Below are 23,147 nucleotides of genomic sequence, written 5' to 3'. Positions count from 1 at the left end.
TAGATGGGCTACATTTGCGTCATTCTCCGGTCTGTTGGTAATAATCTGTTTCGGAGGCCGTTTGAGAATATGTTTGCACATTAGTTAAAATGTTCGGAGGATAAAAGGTCTGGAAACAGAGCGAACTAAAGCTTAGAACGGGTATGTCAAAGCAGAAGCTAAATAAGTCTCTTTCAAGTGCTGAGTGGATTGTTGGGCTAGTGTGCTTCGTGTGTTAAAGATTGAATTATTACTGACAAAACAGATTCACTCTCCCGAGGAAACTTATTGCTTACTGCTATTGAAGTGTGGAAATGCAAAGGGGAAAAGGGAGCTGTTATCTCCCAGGTGACAATGCTGGTGCCCTGGAGCCTGAAGGTGGCCAAGAGCTTTTTTCTATCCCTGGCTCTGTAACCTCAGACAGCAGCACAACCAGCTAGTGCCAGTGATGCAGCTGACACTTGCCAAGAGCTCACACTCATGGGAGATACTTACCTTCTAGCAGAACAGGAGCAAAATGTGCCAATGAAAAGATGACAGCATGACAAGTTTTCCTTTATCTTGTGATTTTAACTTTCCAAAACACTCACACAGATCACCTTTATCCTAACTCTGTATGGCAGTGAAGAAGCTGCACTGAACTGGGAGGACGGCAATTTGTTACCCAAGAGGGACTTTGTCACCCAGCTGTGCAACCTTGTGAAAATAACTTCATCGCCCTCAACTTGGTTTGCCTGACCTGTGTGATGAGCCCATCCCAGCTCTAACCTTCTGTGGCTTGAGAGCAGGTATTATCCCGGTTTTGCAGATGAAAGGGACAGTTTGTCCTTTTGCCTGATGGCAGCTGTTTTGAGGTAGTGAAACCGGACTCTAGTCTCCTGACTCCTGGGCTTGTGCTTTCTCCTGCGGGTCATGCTGTCTCTTCAGAGAATCTGGAAGCTGAGGGAACCAAACTATGCATTTCAGTCCCTGGGGCCCTTTCTCTGAATCATTCCCTGGCATGGCTCCTGCTGTTCCCTTCATTTTCGTGGACCTTTCTTACAGCTGAGGGGTGAGAGGTTTGAGTGGTTAGCCTGTGTGGCCCTAACCTGAGGTCACTGGTGCAGGTGTGTGGGGATGGATGGTGAGGGTGGAGGTCAGCACTGACTCCAAGGTGTCATTGCCTACCCTGCTTATCTCTCCTGGGTGAATGGCCTCACCTCTAGGTTCTTCTAGGCTCACTATTCCCTGCTCTTCCAGGCTTTCCTTATCACTGACGCTGAAAGCAAGTTGGACCAACGTTCATTACTTATCCTGTTAACTTATGGCTGTCAGTCCTTACCTGTGGTTCTTTTTAGGTAGATGGCTAGCATTTCAGTTTTCACACAGGTGACTCCTCTTGCTGTCCAGCTGGAAGCAGGTGGGAAGCTGTCAGGTGAAAGTCATGAGATGACCAGGGCTTTTCTTCCCCTTTGAGTTCTAACAATACTGTATAGGCAGTCCTTGTAGCTCATAATAGCAATTTGGTTTTTTAAAATTAGTAGACTTTATTCTTTAGAGCTGTTTTAGTTTATAGAAAAATGCAGTGGGATGTACAGAGACCACCCTCCCCTCCCCTCCTCGCACACAGTTTCCTCTCTATTAACATTTTGCCTTACTGTGGTATACTTGTCATCATTGATGAGCCAATATTAATACATTATTGTTAGCCAAAGTTCATATAGCATATAGCCTATAGTTTACACGAGGGTTCATTCTTTGGATTATATATTCTATGGGTTTGGACAAGTGTGTAATGATGCATATCAACCATTACAGTATCATATAGAGAAGTTTCAGTGCCTTAAACATCCCCTGTGCTCCACGTATTCATCCCCCTACCCCAATTCCTAGCAACCACTGATGTCTTTATAGTTTTGCATTTTCAGAATGTCATAACATAGGAATCACACAGCCTGTAGTCTCTCAGATTGGTTTCTTTCACTTAGCAACATGCATATAGGGTTCTTCCATTTTTTTCATGATAACTTTTTTAAAATTGCAGAATAATATCCTATTGTATGGATGTACCATGATTTATTTAGCAATAGCAATTAAAAATCATCACTCTATAGCACTGGTGATTTCAATTCTGATCAGCACAGGTCTTGTTCTGGGATTTCCTTCTGCTGTGGGTTTGATTGGAGGGTGGACAGGAGGTGAGACCCCAGGATGCAGGCTGACCAGTCTTACCAGCCTGTGGTAGCACCTGGGTAAAAGCAACATTTCTCACAAGTCATTATGTCTGATAGTAAAATGGACAGAAAAACTAAGTTGTACCATAGTGTCCTCATATTTCCTTCTTTTTTCCTTGGCATTTCTATCTTTCATGTTTGTGCTGAGTATTTCTTCTATCCAATTATTTTGGAAAAAAGAGGACAAAATCAGACACACAGTAGTTTTCACTCCTGTGTCTTGTTAGCAGCAGGAAGTGCTGCGGATGAGTGCATTTCTCTTTTGATGAGTGTGACTTGCCAGTAGTGGCCAGGGGCTGAGTCTGTTTTCAGTGATGTTTGTGATGTTGCCGCTGCCTCCATGCTAGAAACATTGTCTAGAACTTTTCCTTTGATTTATTTTATCAGTCTTTCTCCTGACTTGTGCTCACAGTGAGTGAAGGATTGTGGAGGAGACATGCCTCTTGTTAAAGCAGAGGCTTCACATGGAAGACGGGACTGTAGATGCTGTGCCTTGCACACGCACCGGAGTCATGATCCTACCTGGGGTGTGTACGTGTGGGAGCTGGGGAGTGGCTAGGGGACCATTTCTAACAGCAGGAAGTCGATCCTGCCTGGCTTCCAGGAAGCAGTGATTAACCGTGAAACTGTGATTCTAGAGTTAAAAAAAATGTAAAACCTAAAAACAAATCACTCTGAGGCAATGCAAGAGTTCAACCATTGTAGAAGATTCCTCATGGCAATTCCTCAAGGATCTAGAACCAGAAATACCATTTGACCCAGCAATCCCATTACTGGGTATATACCCAAAGGATTATACATCATTCTACTATAAAGACACAGGCACACATATGTTTATTGCAGCACTGTTCACAATAGTAAAGACTTGGAACCAACCCAAATTCCCATCAATGATAGACTGGATAAAGAAAATGTGGCACATATACACCATGGAATACTATGCAGCCATAAAAAAGGATGAGTTCATGTCTTTTGCAGGGACATGGATGAAGCTGGAAACCATCATTCTCAGCAAACTAACACAGGAACGGAAAACCAAACACTGCATGTTCTCACTCATAAGTGGGAGTTGAACAATGAAAACACATAGACACAGAGGGGAACATCACACACCAGGGCCTGTTGGGGGTTGTGGGGGTAGGGGAGGGATAGCATTAGGAGAAATACCTAATGTAGATGATGGGTTGATGGGTACAGCAAACCACTATGGCACGTGTATACCTATGTAACAAACCTGCATGTTCTGCATGTGTATCCCAGAGCTTAAAGTATGATTAAAAAAAAAGAGTTTAGCACTGGGGAGCAGAATACACTCACTCAGCTGCTGTGTCTGACTCCCCTCTGTTGACTCACCATCCTTCTCTCCCAGGATGCTCTCTGGCCAATCCAAGTTCTACTTCTCTTTTAGTTCCCTACCAACTTTTCTTGGCTCCTCTTTCAGATTGGTCCTTCTTCAAAGAAATGTAATTGACTTAGATGGCAGGGGATAGGCATACAACTCCCCAAGGAGCCCCTGGTCTAGTAGGGGCCACAGATAATAGACCTTGGCAGAGAATGTGAGGGGCATTCTAGGGGTCAGTTCAAGGTGTTACAGCCTACAACAGGGAGCACTTAGCCTTGTGGGAGAATCCAGGGAGGCTTCCTGGCAGAGATGACTAGGTTTAGTCTGGTGAGGAGGAAGTAGAGCATTTCTGGGAGAGGAAAGAACATGTGCAAAGGGCTGTGCTATAAGGGATGAGCAAGACATTCATTGTGTTCAAATCAGAGTTAGCACTGGGGGAGGGAAGAAGGCCAAGTCCAGTGATAAAGAATCCTAGAGTCTTGCCAAGGAGTTTACAGTTTATCATGTGGGCACAAAGAAGCCATCATGGACTTCCATTAGGGTGGGATCTCATCTGATTTTTGTTTTTGAAGGTGTACCTAGGAAGCAGTGGTGAGAATGAGTTAGGGAAATAACGTGTCCCTGCTTTCCCTCCTCCCATTCCTTGAACCTACTGTGATTGGGCTGTCACCTCCACTAGTGCACTGAACCCCATTCCCCCAACTCCTGTTCCTCTGCCCCTCAGTCCTAATACCTGGCCAAACTCCTCTCCACTTGGACTCTATTTTCTGCGTCCGCTAGGCTGTGCCCTAGTCCCTGAATGTGACTGGAGAATGTGAGTGGAGAACTCCATCATTGTGCAGATTGACTTCAGCTCACGTGGAATTCCCCCTGAATTTTCCCAGGCTGTGTTCTCCAACAAGGCAAACCTTCATAGCTTCTCCTCTCTCCTCAGACTGACAACACCCAGCTCGTACTCTCCCCTGATCCTCTTGCTTCTTATTCATTGACAAAAGAGGAGTGATAAAAAGAGAACTTGGCTAGGCGCAGTGGCTCATGCCTGTAATCCCAGCACTTTGGGAGGCTGAGGCGAGCAGGACACCTGAGGTCAGGAGTTCCAGACCAGCCTGGCTAACATAGTGAAACTCGGTCTCTACTAAAAATACAAAAATTAACCGGGCATGGTGGCAAGCACCTCTAGTCCCAGCCACTCAGTAGGCTGAGGCAGGAGAATTGCTTGAACCCGGGAGGTGGAGGTTGCAGAGAGCTGAGATCGCACCACTGCACTCCAGCCTGGGTGACAGAGCGCGACTCCATCTCAAAAAAAAAGAAAAAAAAAAAGAAAAGAAAATAACTTACATATACTCCCATAACTAAATCCACTTTGTGGCCTGCACCCACCCCACGTACTCTGCTTCCCTCCTTCTCGTGGGTCAGGTTCTGTGCTGAATTCATTTCCTCTTGCCCACTCCTCACTTGTTTCCTTTCTCATATGATCAAGGAATATTTCCCTTCTTTATAAAGCTCTCTCCACATACCCCAGCTGCTGCCCCATTTTCCTGCTTCTTTAACTGAAAGACTCCTAGAAAGAGTTCTCTGTACTTGTTGTTTCTGCTTTTTCTCTTCTCTTTCTTGCACTTATTCTGATCAGGTTTTCAACCTTGTCACTCTATTGAAACTGTAACTGTTGTTGTCAAAGGTGCCAGTGATGTCCATGTAGCCAAATCTAATGGTCAGATCTCAGTTCTCATCTCATTCTCCATGTTGGCAACGTTAGACCTAGCAGCCTCTCATCTCACACAATAAAATCCACAATGGTGGCCTATCAGGCACTCCATAGTCTGTTCCTTGGCTGCCTTATTCTGTTTCAGGTGCCATGGCCTCTTGCTGGCCTTGGGGTACTTGCTGTTCCCTCTGCCTGGAATATTCTTCCCCTAAATGGCCTTTCTTCTCACTTCATTGAGGTGTTTGCTCAACGTTACATGATTAGAGTGGCTTTCCCTGAGAACCCTACTACAAATTTCTATCCTTTTACTGTTTTCATAGCACTAATCATAATCTGATATAGGCTTTGTTATAGCTAATCTCCTTTCAGTAGAATTTTTTGAAACTTTAAAAAACTGAGGTACAAAATATATACAGTCAAGTGTGATAAAAATACATTAAAGTATACAGCTTAGTGAATTTTTACAAATGTATACTTGCACATAACCACTACTTAGATCAAAACATCGGATTTCTCCAGCACCCTAGAAGGTTCTCCTCCATTTTATCCTAGACTACCCTCCACTGAAATAACCATTATTCTGACTTCTATCGCCATAGATTAGTTTTACCTATTCTTGAAGTACAGATAAGTGGAATGATTCAGTGTGTAATCTTTTTGTACCTGGCTTCTCTCAGCACAATGGCTGTAAGCCTCAACCATATTGAGTGTGTCAGTAGCTTGCTCACTTTTACTGGCGTGTAGTATTAATTGTTTCAGTTGTATAATGCTGCATAAGAAACCACCCTAAAACTTAGTGGTTTAATAAAATAAACATTTTGTTGCATAATTATTCTGTTGAAATTTGGGCTTGGCTCAGCTGGGCAGTTCTTCTTTTGACAAACATAGGTACCTCATAATTGGAATTCTACCATATTTGTCCTTTTGTAACTGGCTTATTTCACTTAGCATAATGTCATCAAGGTTTATTCATGTTGTGTCAGAATTTGCTTCCTTTTTAAGGATGAATGATATTTCATTGTGAGTATATACCACATTTTGTTTATCCATTCACCCATCAGTGGATATGAGTTGCTTCTACTTTTGGCGATTATGAATAATGTTGCTGTGAACACTGGAGTACAAATATCTCTGTTCAAGTCCCTGCTTTTAATTCTTTTGGGTATATATATATAGAAGTAGAATTGCTGAGTCATATGATAATTCTATTTTTAGTTTCTTAGGGAACTACTATACTGTTTTGCATAGCAGCTTTACCATTTTACATTCCCACCAACAGTGCTCAAGGTTCCCTTTTTTCCACATCCTTGCTAACCCTTGTTATTTTCTGTATATAGCCATCTTAATGGATGAGAGTAGCCATCTAATATGTGTAATTTGGATTCTTTATAAACAATAGATTCTGAGAACTTTGAGATCATTTTATTAGTTTTTCTTCTTCCTCATGTATCTAAATGTAGGCAATGGCACATTCTCAGAGGTAGGAAAATGACACTGGAAGTTATAGAAGCCACTGGAAGAGAAAGTTGCAGCAAAGGAGGAATGATCTGCTGAAGGGCCTTGCAGGACTCATACGTGCTGAGGAAACTTCTGAGCACAATTTGATTAGGAGAATTGTAGGAGGCTTCCAGAAAAAAGCAAAAAACACCTGTTGAGGAAGGTGTTGAAAGAGGGGTGGAACTTTGCTGAGTGGGAAACGGGAGGACCACATGAGGGCAGGAAAGGCTAGGCACAGGCATTGTATGTGGGGCTAGGGGAGAAGGAGATTTTCTTTGGTTTAATCTTTATTTGTGAAGGAAGACAAATGTTAGTGAAAAATAGCTTGGCCATTTGCTTGTTGTTCGTGAAGCTCTTAACCCAGTTAAACTATTGAAAGGGCAATAGGAGCTCTGTGATCTGGCTCTGATAGAAGAGAACAATGATTGGGAGTCTGTGTCAGAGCCATGCAGACATCTTATGATTTCTTACGTTATCATTCAATATTTAGCTCTGGAGTCTATAAATGTTAACTTACAAGGAAGAGTGCTTTAGACTTATTGGTGAAATATCGTGCCTCAGGGATGTGCTTCCAAGTGAAGACAGACTTAGTGTTAGCCTCTGGATAATCTTTACAAGAAGAATTGTTTAATTCCAATTTTTCATTTCAGTTTTTCATGTTACCTTTAAAAAATTTAGAAATTATAGATGTAGAAATAAAGAAATAAGGATTGCCCATGATTTTATCTTAACATTTTGGCATATATTGTCTGTCTTTTTTTTCTTCATATATAAAGCATATATATATGTTTATATATTTTATTAAAATGGTATTACACTGTATGTAGTGAGTTGTCCATTTTATTATCTCAACAATAGATTTTCCCTTTTTATGACATTAAAAATTCTTTTATAGCAGAAACTTAAATGATTATACAGTAGTTCATTGTATGGACATATCAAAATTTGGCATTTAGGTTTTTCCTTTTTTTAACTTTTTTATCACAATAATGAAACAGTATGTCTTTGTAAATAAATTTGTGTCACAGTTCTGATTATTTCTTTTAAAGTGTTTAAAACAGAAATATGCTTTTTAATGAATTCTAACAAAGCAAGCATCTATGTAGCCATCATCCAGGTCAAGAAATAGAATGTAACCAACTCCCAGACATCCCTCATCGTTCCTAGTCACTTCTCCCTTGCTCCTCCCCCAGAGCAACTTGATTTCTAACGCTAGAGTTTTTATTTTGCCTATTTCTGATCTTCATATAAATTAAATAGGACAATGATGCATTCTTTTATGTTATCTCATTTTGTTCAGTACTGCTTTTGAGAGATTCAGGAATGCTTTTGAGTCCATCAGTAGTTAGTTCATTGTTATTGTTTGTAATCTCTTGTGTGAACATACTTCAATTTGTTAATCCAATCTACTGTTGATGTTCATTTAGGTTGTTTTTTAAATGAATATTATTCATACTCTTAATACCCTGATTTCTGTTAGAAAGAGTAGAATTGCTGGGCTATACGTGTATGTATATTGTTTGGTAAATACTGCCAAACAGCTGTCCAAAGTGGTTGCATTGAGTGCTTTGCACAAAGTGGTTGCAATACATGAGAGTTTCCACTGCTTTACTTCCTTGCCAACACTGATGTTTCCAGTTTGCTTAATTCTACCTAATCCAATGAGTTTTTAGTTGTTCCTCATTCTAGTTTTGATATATATTTTTTGAATGACTAAAGAGATTTAGCATCGTTTCATAAATTTTTGCTGGGAGTGAGCATCTTTGGTTACTCTCTTTTATGAAGTGCTTGTGCGGTCTCCTTTTCTACACATAATACATTTTTTATTAAAAAATTGATTTGTAGAAGTTCTTTATATAGTCTGGATATGAACCCTTTATGGGTTATATGTGCTGTAAATATTTTTTTCCCTACTGTGTGTTTTTCCTATTTTCTCTTTTTAGGATGCATTTTGATGAGCAAAAGTTCTTAATTTAGAGAAATATATCAATTTTTCATTTATGTGCTTTTGTGTCTTGTTTAAATTTTGTACTTTCAAGTTCAAGATATTTTCCCATATAATCTTCCGCTAGTTTTATTGTTTTCCATTCACATTTAGATCTGAAATCCACTTAGACTGATTATCGTGTATGCTATGAAATAGAGATCAAGTTTTATTTTTTCCTCAGATGGGTATCCAGTTGACCTAGTATCATTTATTTGAAAATGCCATCCTTTCTTCACTTGTCTTCAGTCCAGTCTTTCACTTAATTAGTGTCTTTATAGGCCTGGATCTTTCTCAGGACTCAATTCTTTTTCACTGATTTGTTTGTATATTACCGCACCAATATCACATTGTGTTAATCAATGTAGTTTTGTAATGAATTTTAACGTTTTTATTTCTCCCTTAAATATTTAGAAGAATTCACCAACTGAGGCAATCTGGGCTTGGAATTTTCCATTTTGGATTTAATTATTTAAATAATCAAAGATCCATTCAAATTTTCTGTTACTTCTGGAGTCAATTTCTGTAAGCTGAATTTTTCTAGAAATATTTCTATTGTACTTAAAGTTTCAGAGTTACTGATATACAATTGTTCATAAGTAATGTCTCTTTATCTTTTAATGTCTGTAAGATATGTAGTGATGCTGTTTTCTTTTTTTCATTCCTCATATTGATTATATTTGCTCATCTTCATTATCTCTCTTATTCGCTCTTTCTTCCCCCTCTACAATCAGTATTGCCAATTTACTAACTTTATTATTAAATGTTTCCAAAGAAACAACTTTTATTTTAGAATTTTGGAATTTTTAATCTTTCTGCTAATTTGAACCTTAACATTGTGAAGTGTGTCTATCTAGTAATAATTTTTCTTTAAAGTCTACTTTGTGTGATATTAATAGAGCAACACCAGCTTTGATTTGTTTTTAGTGTTTACATGGTATATTTTTCTATCCCTTAACATAAACCTTGCTATATTCTTGTATTTTAGATATATCTCTTCTAAGAAGCCTATTTTTTAAATCCACTCTGACACACTTGTCTTTAATTTGAAGGATTTAATTCATCACCTTTATTACATTTGATGTGATATCTTAGTTTCTATCTTCTGTCTTGCTATTTGCTCTTAGTTGTTTCACTTTTTCTCTTTTTCTCCTCTCCTCTTTTATCTTCTTTTGGGATTGATTATTTTGTATTATTCACCTTTCTGTTAACTTTCTATATTATTTTACTACACTTTGGGTGGGCACTCTGAAAAATACAATTCTATTGTAAATTAGTACTTGTACCCCTTCCTAGATATTGCAAGGATTTTAGAATGCTTTAAACTCTTTTACTTTCTTATATGTTATTATTTTCAAGCATATATATACTATATGTATATTCATTGTTGTCTTATGCATCGATACGTATATCTGTTTCCTCTTTCATTGTTCCTCATCCCTTCAATCATCTTCTACCTTCCATCTGGTAAATTTTTCTTTCTGCCTGAGGAACACCCTTTAGCATTTATTTAGTCTGCTGGTGACCAATTCTCATATTTTGTTTGTCTGAAAAATACCTTTATTTTGTTTTAATTCTTGAAAGATATTTGCACTGGTGTGATTGGATTCATGATTGCTTATTATTTTCTTTTTCTTTTTTCTTTTTTGAGACAGAGTCTCGCTGTCGCCCAGGCAGGAGTGCAGTGGCCCGATCTAGGCTCACTGCAGGCTCCGTCCCCCGGGGTTCACGCCATTCTCCTGCCTCAGCCTTCCAAGTAGCTGGGACTACAGGCGCCCACCACCTCGCCTGGCTAATTTTTTGTATTTTTAGTAGAGACGGGGTTTCACTGTGTTAGCCAGGATGGTCTCCATCTCCTGACCTCGTGATCCGCCTGCCTCGGCCTCCCAAAGTGCTGGGATTATCCGCACCCGGCCAATTGCTAATTATTTTCTTTAGGTAATTTGAATATATTTTTCCATAGTTCATCAGACTTCTATTATTTCTTTTGATAATTTAGCTCTTAGTTTAATTGTTGTCCATCGTAGGAATTCTTTTTCTCTGGTGCTTTTAAGATTTATTCTCTTTCTTCCTTTCTCCTCCTCTTCCTCCTTCTCTTTCATCTCTTCTAGTAGTTTTATTATCCTATACCTAGATATGGCCACCATCTGTCAGACCTCGTAGATAATAGATAATTAATGCATTGGGTAAGATATAACGAAACAGCAGGGGATAGTGCAGACTTGGGAGCTAGTAACAGCAGAAGCCTGGATCAGGATTAGAGTTAGGGGCTTTATCACCCCTAACATGAAAGGGAAGGGGAGCTTTTACTAATAGCTAGAAGCAGAGAGATAGTGTGAAGAAAGTTACTTTATACGAATTTATATTTTGGTCAAGGGATGCAGGCATCCTATGGTGACTTGTTGGAGGCACCTGGGGAAATAAATACCGTAATCTCATTGACCTTTCTTCTCCTTCCAAACTTCTTTTAGTTCTCCTCATTGGTGATCTGAGATACCAAGCAAAGTGTAGATTTAGAGGAGCACATGGGGTTTATAGGAATCCTTACATCTGTGGTTCAGGTGTCAGCAAACCTTTTCTGTAAAGGGGCAAATAATTTGTTTAGGCTGTGTGTGCCACATGTGGTCTCTCCTCCTTTCCTCCCCTCTTCTTCTTTCATGACCCTTTAATGATGTAAACAAACAAACAAACAAACAAACAAACAAAAAACATTCTTAGCTCACAAGTCATACCGAAACAGGCCACTGGCAAAATTTGGCTGACCCCTGGTGTAGTGGGAGGGCTCATTTTTTGCCGGGATCAGTTTTGGAGAATTCTCTGCTACTATCTCTTTATAACTTTATCTCCTTATAACTTGACATTCTCTTTGCTCCGGAATTCCAAGGACACCCCGGTTGACTCTTTGCACTCTATCCCCTGTGTCTATCTTACAGTCTGTTGTATTTTTTAACCTTTTCTCTTCCCATGCTTCCCTCTGGATATTTTTTTCTGACTCATCTCCCAGTTTCCTGATACTCTTCAGTTTGGCTAATTACTTCTAAACTCATCCAGTGCATTCTTAATTTTGGTTATTGTGTTATTCAGAGTTAGAATTGTCAAATGGCTTATTTTATAGTTTTAAGTTTTCAGCAGAAATTCTTGATTTTTCCTTTTATCTCATAAAGTATGTTAAGGATAATTATTTAATGTCTACATTCAATAACTCCATAATCTGAACTCTCTGTGGGTTTCATCCTATAGTATTCTATTGTTTCTCTTAGTTTTCCCACAGATTGCTTTATCTCTTCATGTGCTAGTTATTTTGGATTGTGTACTGGACATTCTACATGAAATTTCAAAAAAATGTTTTGGGCCCTAGGATGGTGTATATATATATGTGTGTGTGTATATATATATATATACACACACACACATATATATATACACGTATACATGTATACATATATACATGTATACATACGTATATATATGTGTGTGTGTGTATATATATACGTATACATATATATTTTGAACATTGATGCTAAAATTCTTTTTTTATTATTATTATACTTTAAGTTCTAGGGTACATGTGCGCAACGTGCAGGTTTGTTACATATGTGTACATGTGCACAACGTGCAGGTTTGTTACATACGTGTACATGTGCCATGTTGGTGTGCTGCACCCATTAACTCATCATTTACATTAGGTATATCTCCTAATGCTATCCCCCCCCACTCCCCCCACCCCACAACAGGCCCCAGTGTGTGCTGTTCCCCTTCCTGTGTCCTAGTGTTCTCATTGTTCAATTCCCACCTATGAGTGAGAACATGTGGTGTTTGGTTTTTTGTCCTTGTGATAGTTTGCTGAGAATGATGGTTCTAGCTTCATCCATGTCCCTACAAAGGACATGAACTCATCCTTTTTATGGCTGCATAGTATTCCGTGGTGTATATATGCCACATTTTGTTAATCCAGTCTATCATTGATGGACATTTGGGTTGGTTCCAAGTCTTTGCTATTGTGAATAGCGCCGCAATAAACATACGTGTACATGAGTCTTTATAGCAGCATGATTTATAATCCTTTGGATATATACCTAGTAATGGGATGGCTGGGTCTAATGGTATTTCTAGTTCTAGATCCCTGAGGAATCGCCACACTGACTTCCACAATGGTTGAACTAGTTTACAGTCCCACCAACAGTGTAAAAGTGTTCCTATATCTCCACATCCTCTCCAGCACCTGTTGTTTCCTGACTTTTTAATGATCGCCATTCTAACTGGTGTGGGATGGTATCTCATTGTGGTTTTGATTTGCATTTCTCTGATGGCCAGTGATGATGAGCATTTTTTCATGTGTCTTTTGGCTGCATAAATGTCTTCTTTTGAGAAGTGTCTGTTCATATCCTTTGTTCACTTTTTGATGGGGTTGTTTGTTTTTTTCTTGTAAATTTGTTTGAGTTCATTGTAGATTCTGGATATTAGCCCTTTGTCAGATGAGTAGATTGCAAAAATGTTCTCCCACTCTGTAGGTTGCCTGTTCACTCTGATGGTAGTTTCTTTTGCTGTGCAGAAGCTCTTTAGTTTGATTACATCCCATTTGTCAATTTTGTCTTTTGTTGCCATTGCTTTTGGTGTTTTATACATGAAGTCCTTGCCCATGCCTACGTCCTGAATGGTATTGCCTGGGTTTTCTTCTAGGGTTTTTATGGTTTTAGGTCTAACATATAAGTCTTTAATCCATCTTGAATTAATGTTCATATAAGGTATAAGGAAGGGATCCAGTTTCAGCTTTCTACATATGGCTAGCCAGTTTTCCCAGCACCATTGATTAAATAGGGAATCCTTTCCCCATTTCTTGTTTTTGTCAGGTTTGTCAAAGATCAGATGGTTGTAGATTTGTGGTATTATTTCTGAGGGCTCTGTTCTGTTCCATTGATCTATATCTCTGTTTTGGTACCAGTACCATGCTGTTTTGGTTACTGTAGCCTTGTAGTATAGTTTGAAGTCAGGTAGCGTGATGCCTCCAGCTTTGTTCTTTTGCCTTAGGATTGACTTGGCAATGTAGGCTCTTTTTTTGTTCCATATCAACTTTAAAGTAGTTTTTTCCAATTTTGTGAAGAAAGTCATTGTTAGCTTGATGGGGATGGCATTGAATCTATAAATTACCTTGGGCAGTATGACCATTTTCATGATACTGATTCTTCCTATCCATGAGCATGGAATGTTCTTCCATTTGTTTGTGTCCTCTTTTATTTCATTGAGCAGTGGTTTGTAGTTCTCCTTGAAGAGGTCCTTCACATCCCTGGTAAGTTGGATTCCAGGTATTTTATTCTCTTTGAAGCAATTGTGAATGGGATTTCACTCATGATTCGGCTCTCTGTTTGTCTGTTAGTGGTGTATAAGAATGCTTGTGATTTTTGCACATTGATTTTGTATCCTGAGACTTTGCTGAAGTTGCTTATCAGCTTAAGGAGATTTTGGGCTGAGATGATGGGGTTTTTCTAGATATACAATCATGACATCTGCAAACAGGGACAATTTGACTTCCTCTTTTTCTAATGAATACTCTTTATTTCTTTCCCCTGCCTGATTGCCCTGGCCACAACTTCCAACACTATGTTGAATAGGAGTGGTGAGAGAGGACATCCCTGTCTTGTGCCAGTTTTCAAAGGGAATGCTTCCAGTTTTTGCCCATTCAGTATGATATTGGCTGTGGGTTTGTCATAGATAGCTCTTATTATTTTGAGATACATCCCATCAATACCTAATTTATTGGGTTTTTAACATGAAGGGTTGTTGAATTTTGTCAAAGGTCTTTTCTGCATCTATTGAGATAATCATGTGGTTTTTGTCTTTGGTTCTGTTTATATGCTGGATTATGTTTATTGGTTTGGGTATGTTGAACCAGCCTTGCATCCCAGGGATGAAGCCAACTTGATCATAGTGGATAAGCTTTTTGATGTGCTGCTGGATTTGGTTTGCCAGTATTTTATTGAGGATTTCTGCATCAGTGTTCATCAAGGATATTGGTCTAAAATTCTCTTTTGTTGCTGTGTCTCTGCCAGGCTTTGGTATGAGGATGATGCTGGCCTCATAAAATGAGTTAGGGAGGATTCCCTCTTTTTCTTTACATTGGAATAGTTTCAGAAGGAATGGTACCAGCTCCTCCTTGTACCTCTGGTAGAATTTGGCTGTGAACCCATCTGGTCCTGGACTTTTTTTGATTGGTAAGCTATTAATTATTGCCTCAATTTCAGAGCCTGTTATTGGTCTATTCAGAGATTCCATTTCTTCCTGGTTTAGTCTTGGGAGGGTGTATGTGTCCAGGAATTTATCCATTTCTTCTAAATTTTCTAGTTTATTTGTGTAGAGGTGTTTATAGTATTCTCTGATGGTAGTTTGTATTTCTGTGGGATCGGTGGTGATATCCCCTTTATCATTTTTTATTGTGTCTATTTGATTCTTCTCCCTTTTCTTCTTTATTAGTCTTGCTAGCAGACTATCAATTTTGTTGATCTTTTCAAAAAACCAGCCCCTGGATTCATTGATTTTTTGAAGGGTTTTTTGTGTCTCTATTTCCTTCAGTTCTGCTCTGATCTTAGTTATTTCTTGTCTTCTGCTAGCTTTTGAATGAGTTTGCTCTTGCTTCTCTAGTTCTTTTAATTGTGATGTCAGGGTGTCAATTTTAGATCTTTCCTGCTTTCTCTTGTGGGCATGTAGTGCTATAAATTTCCCTCTACACACTGCTTTGAATGTGTCCCAGAGATTCTGGTATGTTGTGTCTTTGTTCTCATCGGTTTCAAAGAACATCTTTATTTCTGCCTTCATTTCATTATGTACCCAGTAGTCATTCAGGAGCAGGTTGTTCAGTTTCCATGTAGTTTGAGCGGTTTTGAGTGAGTTTCTTAATCCTGAATTCTAGTTTGATTGCTCTGTGGTGTGAGAGACAGTTTGTTGTGATTTCTGTTCTTTTACATTTGCTGAGGAGTGCTTTACTTCCCACTATGTGGTCAATTTTGGATTAGGTGTGTTGTGGTGCTGAAAAGAATGTATATTCTGTTGATTTGGGGTGGAGAGTTCTGTAGATGTCTATTAGGTCTGCTTGGGGCAGAGCTGAGTTCAATTCCTGGATATCCTTGTTAACTTTCTGTCTTGTTGATCTGTCTAATGTTGACAGTGGGGTGTTAAAGTCTCCCACTATTATCGTGTGGGAGTCTAAGTCTCTTTGTAGATCTCTCAGGACTTGCTTTATGAATCTGGGTGCTCCTGTGTTGGATGCATATATATTTAGGATAGTTAGCTCTTCTTGTTGAATTGATCCCTTTACCATTATGTAATGACCTTCTTTGTCTCTTTTGATCTTTGTTGCTTTAAAGTTTGTTTTATCAGAGACTAGGATTGCAACCCCTGCCTTTTTTTGTTCTCCGTTTTCTTGGTAGATCTTCCTCCATCCCTTTATTTTGAGCCTATGTGTGTCTCTGCATGTGAGATGTGTTTCCTGAATACAACACACTGATAGGTCTTGACTCTTTGTCCAATTTGCCAGTCTGTGTCTTTTAATTGGAGCATTTAGCCCATTTACATTTAAAGTTAATATTGTTATGCAGTATTTGGTCCTGTCATTGTGATGTTAGCTGGTTATTTTGCTCATTAGTTGATGCAGTTTCTTCCTAGCCTTGACAGTCTTTACAACTTGGCATGTTTTTGCAGTGGCTGGTACCGGTTGTTCCTTTCCATGTTTAGTGCTTCCTTCAGGAGCTCTTTTAGGGCAGGCCTGGTGGTGACAAAATCTCTCAGCATTTGCTTGTCTGTAAAGGATTTTATTTCTCCTTCACTTATGAAGCTTAGTTTGGCTGGATATGAAATTCTGCGCTGAAAATTCTTTTCTTTAAGAATGTTGAATATCGGCCCCCACTCTCTTCTGGCTTGTAGAATTTCTGCCGAGAGATCAGCTGTTAGTCTGATGGGCTTCCCTTTGTGGATAACCCGATCATTCTCTCTGGCTGCCCTTAACATTTTTTCCTTCATTTCAACGTTGGTGAATCTGACAATTATGTGTCTTGGAGTTGCTCTTCTCGAGGAGTATCTTTGTGGCATTCCCTGTATTTCCTGAATCTGCATGTTGGCCTGTCGTGCTAAATTGGGGAAGTTCTCCTGGATAATATCCTGCAGAGTGTTTTCCAACTTGGTTCCATTCTCCCTGTCACTTTCAGGTACACCAATCAGACGTAGATTTGGTCTTTTCACATAGTCCCATATTTCTTGGAAGCTTTGTTCATTTCTTTTTATTCTTTTTTCTCTAAACTTACCTTCTCGCTTCGTTTCATTCATTTCATCTTCCATCACTGATACCCTTTCTTCCAGTTGATTGCATTGGCTCCTGAGGCTTCTGCATTCTTCACGTAGTTCTGGAGCCTTGGCTTTCAGCTGCATCAGCTCCTTTAAGGACTTCTCTGCGTTGGTTATTCTAGTTTTCCATTCGTCTAATTTTTTTTCAAAGTTTTTAACTTGTTTGCCATTGGTTTGAATTTCCTCCTGTAGCTCGGAGTAGTTTGATCGTCTGAAGCCTTCTTCTGTCAGCTAATCAAAGTCATTCTCCGTCCAGCTTTGTTCCGTTGCTGGTGAGGAGCTGTGTTTCTTTCGAGGAGGAGAGGCACTCTGCTTTTTAGAGTTTCCAGTTTTTCTGCTCTATTTTTTCCCCATATTTGTGGTTTTATCTACTTTTGGTCTTTGATGATGGTGATGTACGGAAGGGTTTTTGGTGTGGATGTCTTTTCTGTTTGTTAGTTTTCCTTCTAACAGACAGAACCCTCAGGTCTGTTGGAGTTTGCTAGAGGTCCACTCCAGATGCTGTTTGCCTGGGTATCAGCAGCGGTGGCTGCAGAACAGCGGTGGCTGTAGAACAGCGGTGGCTATAGAACAGCAGATATTGGTGAACCGCAAATGCTGCTGCCTGATCGTTCCTCTGGGAGTTTTGTCTCAGAGGAGTACCCGACCTTGTAAGGTGTCAGTCTGCCCCTACTGGGGGGTGCCTCCCAGTTAGGCTGCTCAGGGGTCAAGGACCCACTTGAGGAGGCAGTCTTCCAGTTCTCAGATCTCCAGCTGCGTGCTGGGAGAACCACTACTGTCTTCAAAGCTGTCAGACAGGGATATTTAAGTCTGCAGAGGTTACTGCTGTCTTTTTGTTTGTCTGTGCCCTGCCCCTAGAGGTGGAGCCTACAGAGGCAGGCAGGCCTCCTTGAGCTGTGGTGGGCTCCACCCAGTTCGAGGTTCCTGGCTGCTTTGTTTACCTAATCAAGCCTGGGCAATGGCAGGCGCCCCTCCCCCAGCCTCGCTGCCACCTTGCAGTTTGATCTCAGACTGCTGTGCTAGCAATGAGCGAGACTCCATGGGCGTAGGACCCTCCGAACCAGGTGCCGGATATAATCTCCTGGTGTGCCGTTTTTTAAGCCCGTTGGAAAAGCGCACTATTAGGGTGGGAGTGACCCGATTTTCCAGGTGCTGTCTGTCACCCCTTTCTTTGACTAGGAAAGGGAACTCCCTGACCCTTTGTGCTTCCCGAGTGAGGCGATGCCTCACCCTGCTTCGGCTCGTGCACAATGCAGTGCACCCACTGTTCTGCACCCACTGTCTGGCACTCCCTAGTGAGATGAACACAGTACCTCAGATGGAAATGCAGAAATCACCTGTCTTCTCCGTCGCTCACGCTGGGAGCTGTAGACCAGAGCTGTTCCTATTCGGCCATCTTGGCTGCCACCCTCAAAAATCTTAATCATCAATTATGGTTTAAGCTCAGGGGTTCCTTTACTCGAGATACTTTTTCTGATTCCTCTGAGCCAGGTATAATATATTTTTCTATTCAGCCCCCACAGCATATTACTTACACTTGGATTATAGATACATTCTGTCTTTTACTACAGATCCATGGTCCATTATACACAATCCCCAAATCCCAAAAGCTGAGAAACATGAATGTAACCTATTTAGTGGCAAAATCTCTGTTGGCCTGACTGTACTTGAAGATACCTGACCTGAGTTGATGTTTACTACTTAGGGTCTTGACATATCTCACTTAGTCTGAATATTCATACATTTCTCTGCAAAAATATTCCTATGCTTGAGGACAGGGTGCTGCCCAATTCTGTTTAGGGGTATTTGGTAGTATATGATAAATGGACCCTATTAGCTATCTGAATTCTGCAGCCTTTCTGGGCCTAAGGCATTTGGGTAAGGTGTTTTGGGTCTGCTTAAATATTAAGAGTTGTGTGTGTACTGTAAGTTTAGGAAGCACATCTTAATCCTCATGCTTTCCAGGCCTGGAGATAGGGGTTTATTTTTTCCCACAGCATTAGAATCCATTGGCAGACAATTGCTGTGTTAATTTAGTGGCTTAAGTTTATCTGGGCCAAGATTTCTGTGATTCTCTCATTCTTTCATGCAGTCACAGAATGGCTGCTCCAGTTCTAGTCATCAAGTTTATGTTCCAAGGGGAAAAAAGGAAGAATGGCAAAAGGCAGAAAAATATAAGCCTCTTGAATCTGTTCCTCTTTTAAAGATTTTTTGGAAGCCTGTCCAGTGACTTCTACTTAATATCTCAGTGGTCAGAATTGTGTGATATTGTCACCTCTCTGTGTAAGAGAATGGAAGGAATATAGTTCTTAGCTTGGTAGATGGTGCCCCACCAAAATAGAGATTCTTTAGCAAGAAGGAATGGGAAATGGATATTGGGTAGACAATTAGAAGACTTGGCTAATGTTTTTTGAGAACTTAAGTGTTTAATAAGTGCTAAATACTTTATACATCTCAACTCTTGAACTCCTCATAAGAATCTAATGAATCTGGCATATCATCATTCCATTTTTATACGTGAGGAAACAGAGGCTCAGAAAGGTTTTCATCTGCCCAAGTCTACTCTAACAGTCATCTTGGGGTGGGATTTGAATACAGGCTTGTTTGATTCTAGCATATACTTTCAACTGGTGTGCTGCACATCTACTGGGGTATAACATTGAAAAGTTAGGTAGAAGCCAGATTTTGAAGGGCGTTGACTACAAAAATTGAGTTTAGACTGACCCCTGGCCTACATAATTATTTTCTAAACGATTACAATTATGTTTTTGTGCTAACCAGATCCTTTGTCTTCACACTATGAAGTTCTTCCCCTTTTTGTTGAACCTGGTGCTTTTCTCTAGCAAGAACTTAGAAGGGGGCCTATCCTTTAAGACCCTGCACAGACTACCATCTCCTTGAAGACTCTCTTAGGCTGGATTGGTGACTTTCTTTTTTGCATTCCTACAATATTCTTTACACAAACCAAAATATTTTTATGTTGTATAATCTTCTTACATGATTAATTATGACTCAACTCAATTTGACTAGTGAGAAGGGATTGTGTCTTATTCCTTTGCAAGTTGTGGCACTTAGCACAGTTGCTGGCACACAATAGGCATTCAGATATTGATGGAATGAGGAAAACAATGAATGGGTGAATCAAGATCACATGAGATAGTAAGAAAAAACAAGTCTACAGAAAATATCTTTTTATTTTAATTATAATGCTGAACAATTAGTGGTATCATCATTTGAGTATGATTAATACCAACTATTCATGAATGGAAGTCTAGTATGTTTATAGGAGAATGTCAGAATGTCAGCAATTTTGTGTTTTGAGTTAGTTAACATTATGCTTTAATTTTTTTATTACATTTTAAACTTTAGATATTTTCTTTATGAACACTAAGATAATGAATATTTATATAGTGCATCATTACTGTTTATTTTTACATTTTTTCTTTTCTTTGAACGTCATAAAACCCCTATAAGCACACATTTTTTTTTATATTACCTTCTGACTACTGATGAAGTCAGAGACACATAGAGGTTGGTGACTTTGTCAGGAAGCACACAGCTAGTGAGAGAACAAATCTTGTTCTCACTTGAGATCCCAGAGTTACTTAATATTTGGATGATGTCTTGTTTAGCCTTAGGTTTGCTACAATTAGGGGTCAAATTTAGCTTAGATAATTCTGGTTTCTTTGGAACTATTCAGCTCATAGCCAACAACACGTCATGGCCACAGTATATAGAAAAGGGAGCACAAAGAATGTGAAACTATAATAAACGGTTTTGAGTATTAAAACTTTTCATGGGAATGAGTGTTAAATGTATTTCTCCAAGCACAGGAAATTTCTGTTAAGACATAAGGTTTGCACATTAGCTGAAGTGTATCTCAGGGTGTTGGTTAGGAGGGAAGAGAGTATTGACAATCAACGATGGAGGCTTTTGTAAGAACTAGAGTAGGAAGCAGTAGTTTAACTTTGTGTACTGTTACCTTTTTAATATTTTGAAAGTTTTTGAAGGTGAAGATGGAGATCAGTGCTTAGTAATTGACTACATGAATGTTATTATACACATATTGGAAATTAAAGTGCATAAGAATCATTCCTTTTCGGTAGAATGAGAAACTCCTTAGTGGGTGATATGAGATGGTCAGGAAAAGTCCCTTGGAAACATCATCTCTCCCACCAGGCTGCTTAAAATTTAATGACATGTTATTTGTTATATGTTTACATATTAATCAAAGTAACTTAAAATAGTGTACATATTTCTAATCGTTATAATTGTGAGAGTAGCAGTGGGGGGCTGACGTAAGCAGGGAGGGTTGGGCAAGCTTAAGTGAGTGAGAAAGGAGTGTGTGCTCCACTGTCAGATCACAGCGATGTGGGTGGGGGCCTAGAGGGAGACTTCTGAGAGCATGACCTGCCTCAGAGACATGGGTGGAGGTGCTGGAGACAGCTTGTCCTCTCCCTACTCGTGCAAAGACAGACCCATGAAAGTAGTGCAAATGGTGAGTGTAGGTTTAAGCATGTTGTAAACAAGTTGGCAGATCCATTTGGGGCTATTTAGAAAAGGTAGGAGAAGTCTCATTAAGGGAAAGCATAAAGAAAAAATAGAAACTAAAACATGCTAAGCAATATAGGAGACTTCTTTTTTAAGTTACATTTTATATAACCAGATTTTTTTGAAATGGATGTATAAAAACGAAAAGATTCCATTTGAACAGAAAAAGCAACAAATAGCATGGTAACACTTACAGGAAAGAAGGAGACCTTGCAAATAATGCCACTTAAAATGTTTTATAGAACCCCTTATTTATGTCTCAATCCAAAAAAATATGTTAAAAAAGCAGCCACTAGAACTGATGAAATAAAAAATATGAATGTGTTTTGTGTCTTTGGGAAAGATATGACAAAAACATGCTGCCTTACCCCTGTATTTATTCAGCAGTGATTGATTAAATAGCACCAGAAATGAGTGCTCTGTTTAGCGCCTTGGGAATTTTAGAGGGAATATAATTTCTTCAGGTTGAGGATTTTGAGCTAGGTCTGCAAGAAAGATATAACCAGAGATTGGCAGATAGAATCATCAGGTGGTCAAACAACAGTATCTTTCACTGTTATGTAGAAGGGCATGACAAAATAACAATCGCCTGTTTGACTCTGTCTCTTATTAGATACGTGCTTGTACTTATAGATTACAGATATTGGTTATCCTCTGAATTGCGGTGTTCTCATCTTTAATAAGGGCAGTGTCTACTTGCAAGGTGTTGTAGGGATTAAATTAGATATGTATGTAGATTACTGCAGTGCCCACATTGTTAGCATTTAGTGACTAGTGTTGTTGTCAGCCTAGGAAATGATCCAAAAGAACAATTACTAACCTCACAAAGGTACTTGATCCTGGGAAGTATTGCTTTTGGGAAACTCCTCTTTATGTATTACTATTTATTCCTGAGGATTTGAGCTTGAGCCTCTTGATGATCATCCACTCTCTGCATGCTGGAGCCTTGACTAAAAGGGGAGGCCCCAATCTCAGGAGAGATTTTACATTAAAGCCAGCTCTAAAGGTCAGACCAGACTGGCAGTGCTAAGGGCTAATTCTGCTTTCTGCTTTCTGGTTTTCATCCTTTAAAAACAATTTAAATCTTACTTTATTTTTATTGACAAATAATTATCTGTATTTATGGGGTACAATGGGATATTTTGATCATTGTGGGATGATTAAATCAAGCTAATTAACATATGTAACACCTTTTTTTTCTGGTGTGTATGTGTGTATGTGTTATGTGTGTGTGTGTGTGTGTGTGTGTGTGTGGCAAGAACAGAAAACCTTCTGGCAATTTTGAGATGTATAATACATTAACTATGGTCACCATGTTGAGCAATAGATCACTAAAACTTATTCCTCCTGTCTAACTGAAACTTTGTACCCTTTGACCAACATCTCCTCCACTCCCCCTGCCTCCTCAGCCTCTGTTAACCACCATTCTACTCAATACTTCTACGGGTTTGACTTTTTTTGATTCCAAATGTAAGTGAGATCATGCAGTATTTGTCTTTCTGTGTCTGGCTTATTTCATTTAGCATAATGTCTTCCAGGTTTACC

General features: G+C 39.4%; 1 protein-coding gene across 4 annotated transcripts in view; it reads left to right on the top strand.

Annotated features, from left to right (window-relative positions):
* The window catches only part of KCNH1 (potassium voltage-gated channel subfamily H member 1), a 455,835-nt gene that overhangs the window by 119,689 nt on the left and 312,999 nt on the right, over positions 1-23,147 (top strand). The gene's annotated exons all lie outside the window — the stretch shown is intronic.

The sequence above is a fragment of the Homo sapiens genome, chromosome 1, assembly GCF_000001405.40.
Source record: "Homo sapiens chromosome 1, GRCh38.p14 Primary Assembly".
NCBI lineage: Eukaryota > Metazoa > Chordata > Mammalia > Primates > Hominidae > Homo > Homo sapiens.
The sequence above is the reverse complement of the archived record's forward strand: the minus strand, read 5'-3'. Positions and strand labels throughout refer to the sequence as shown.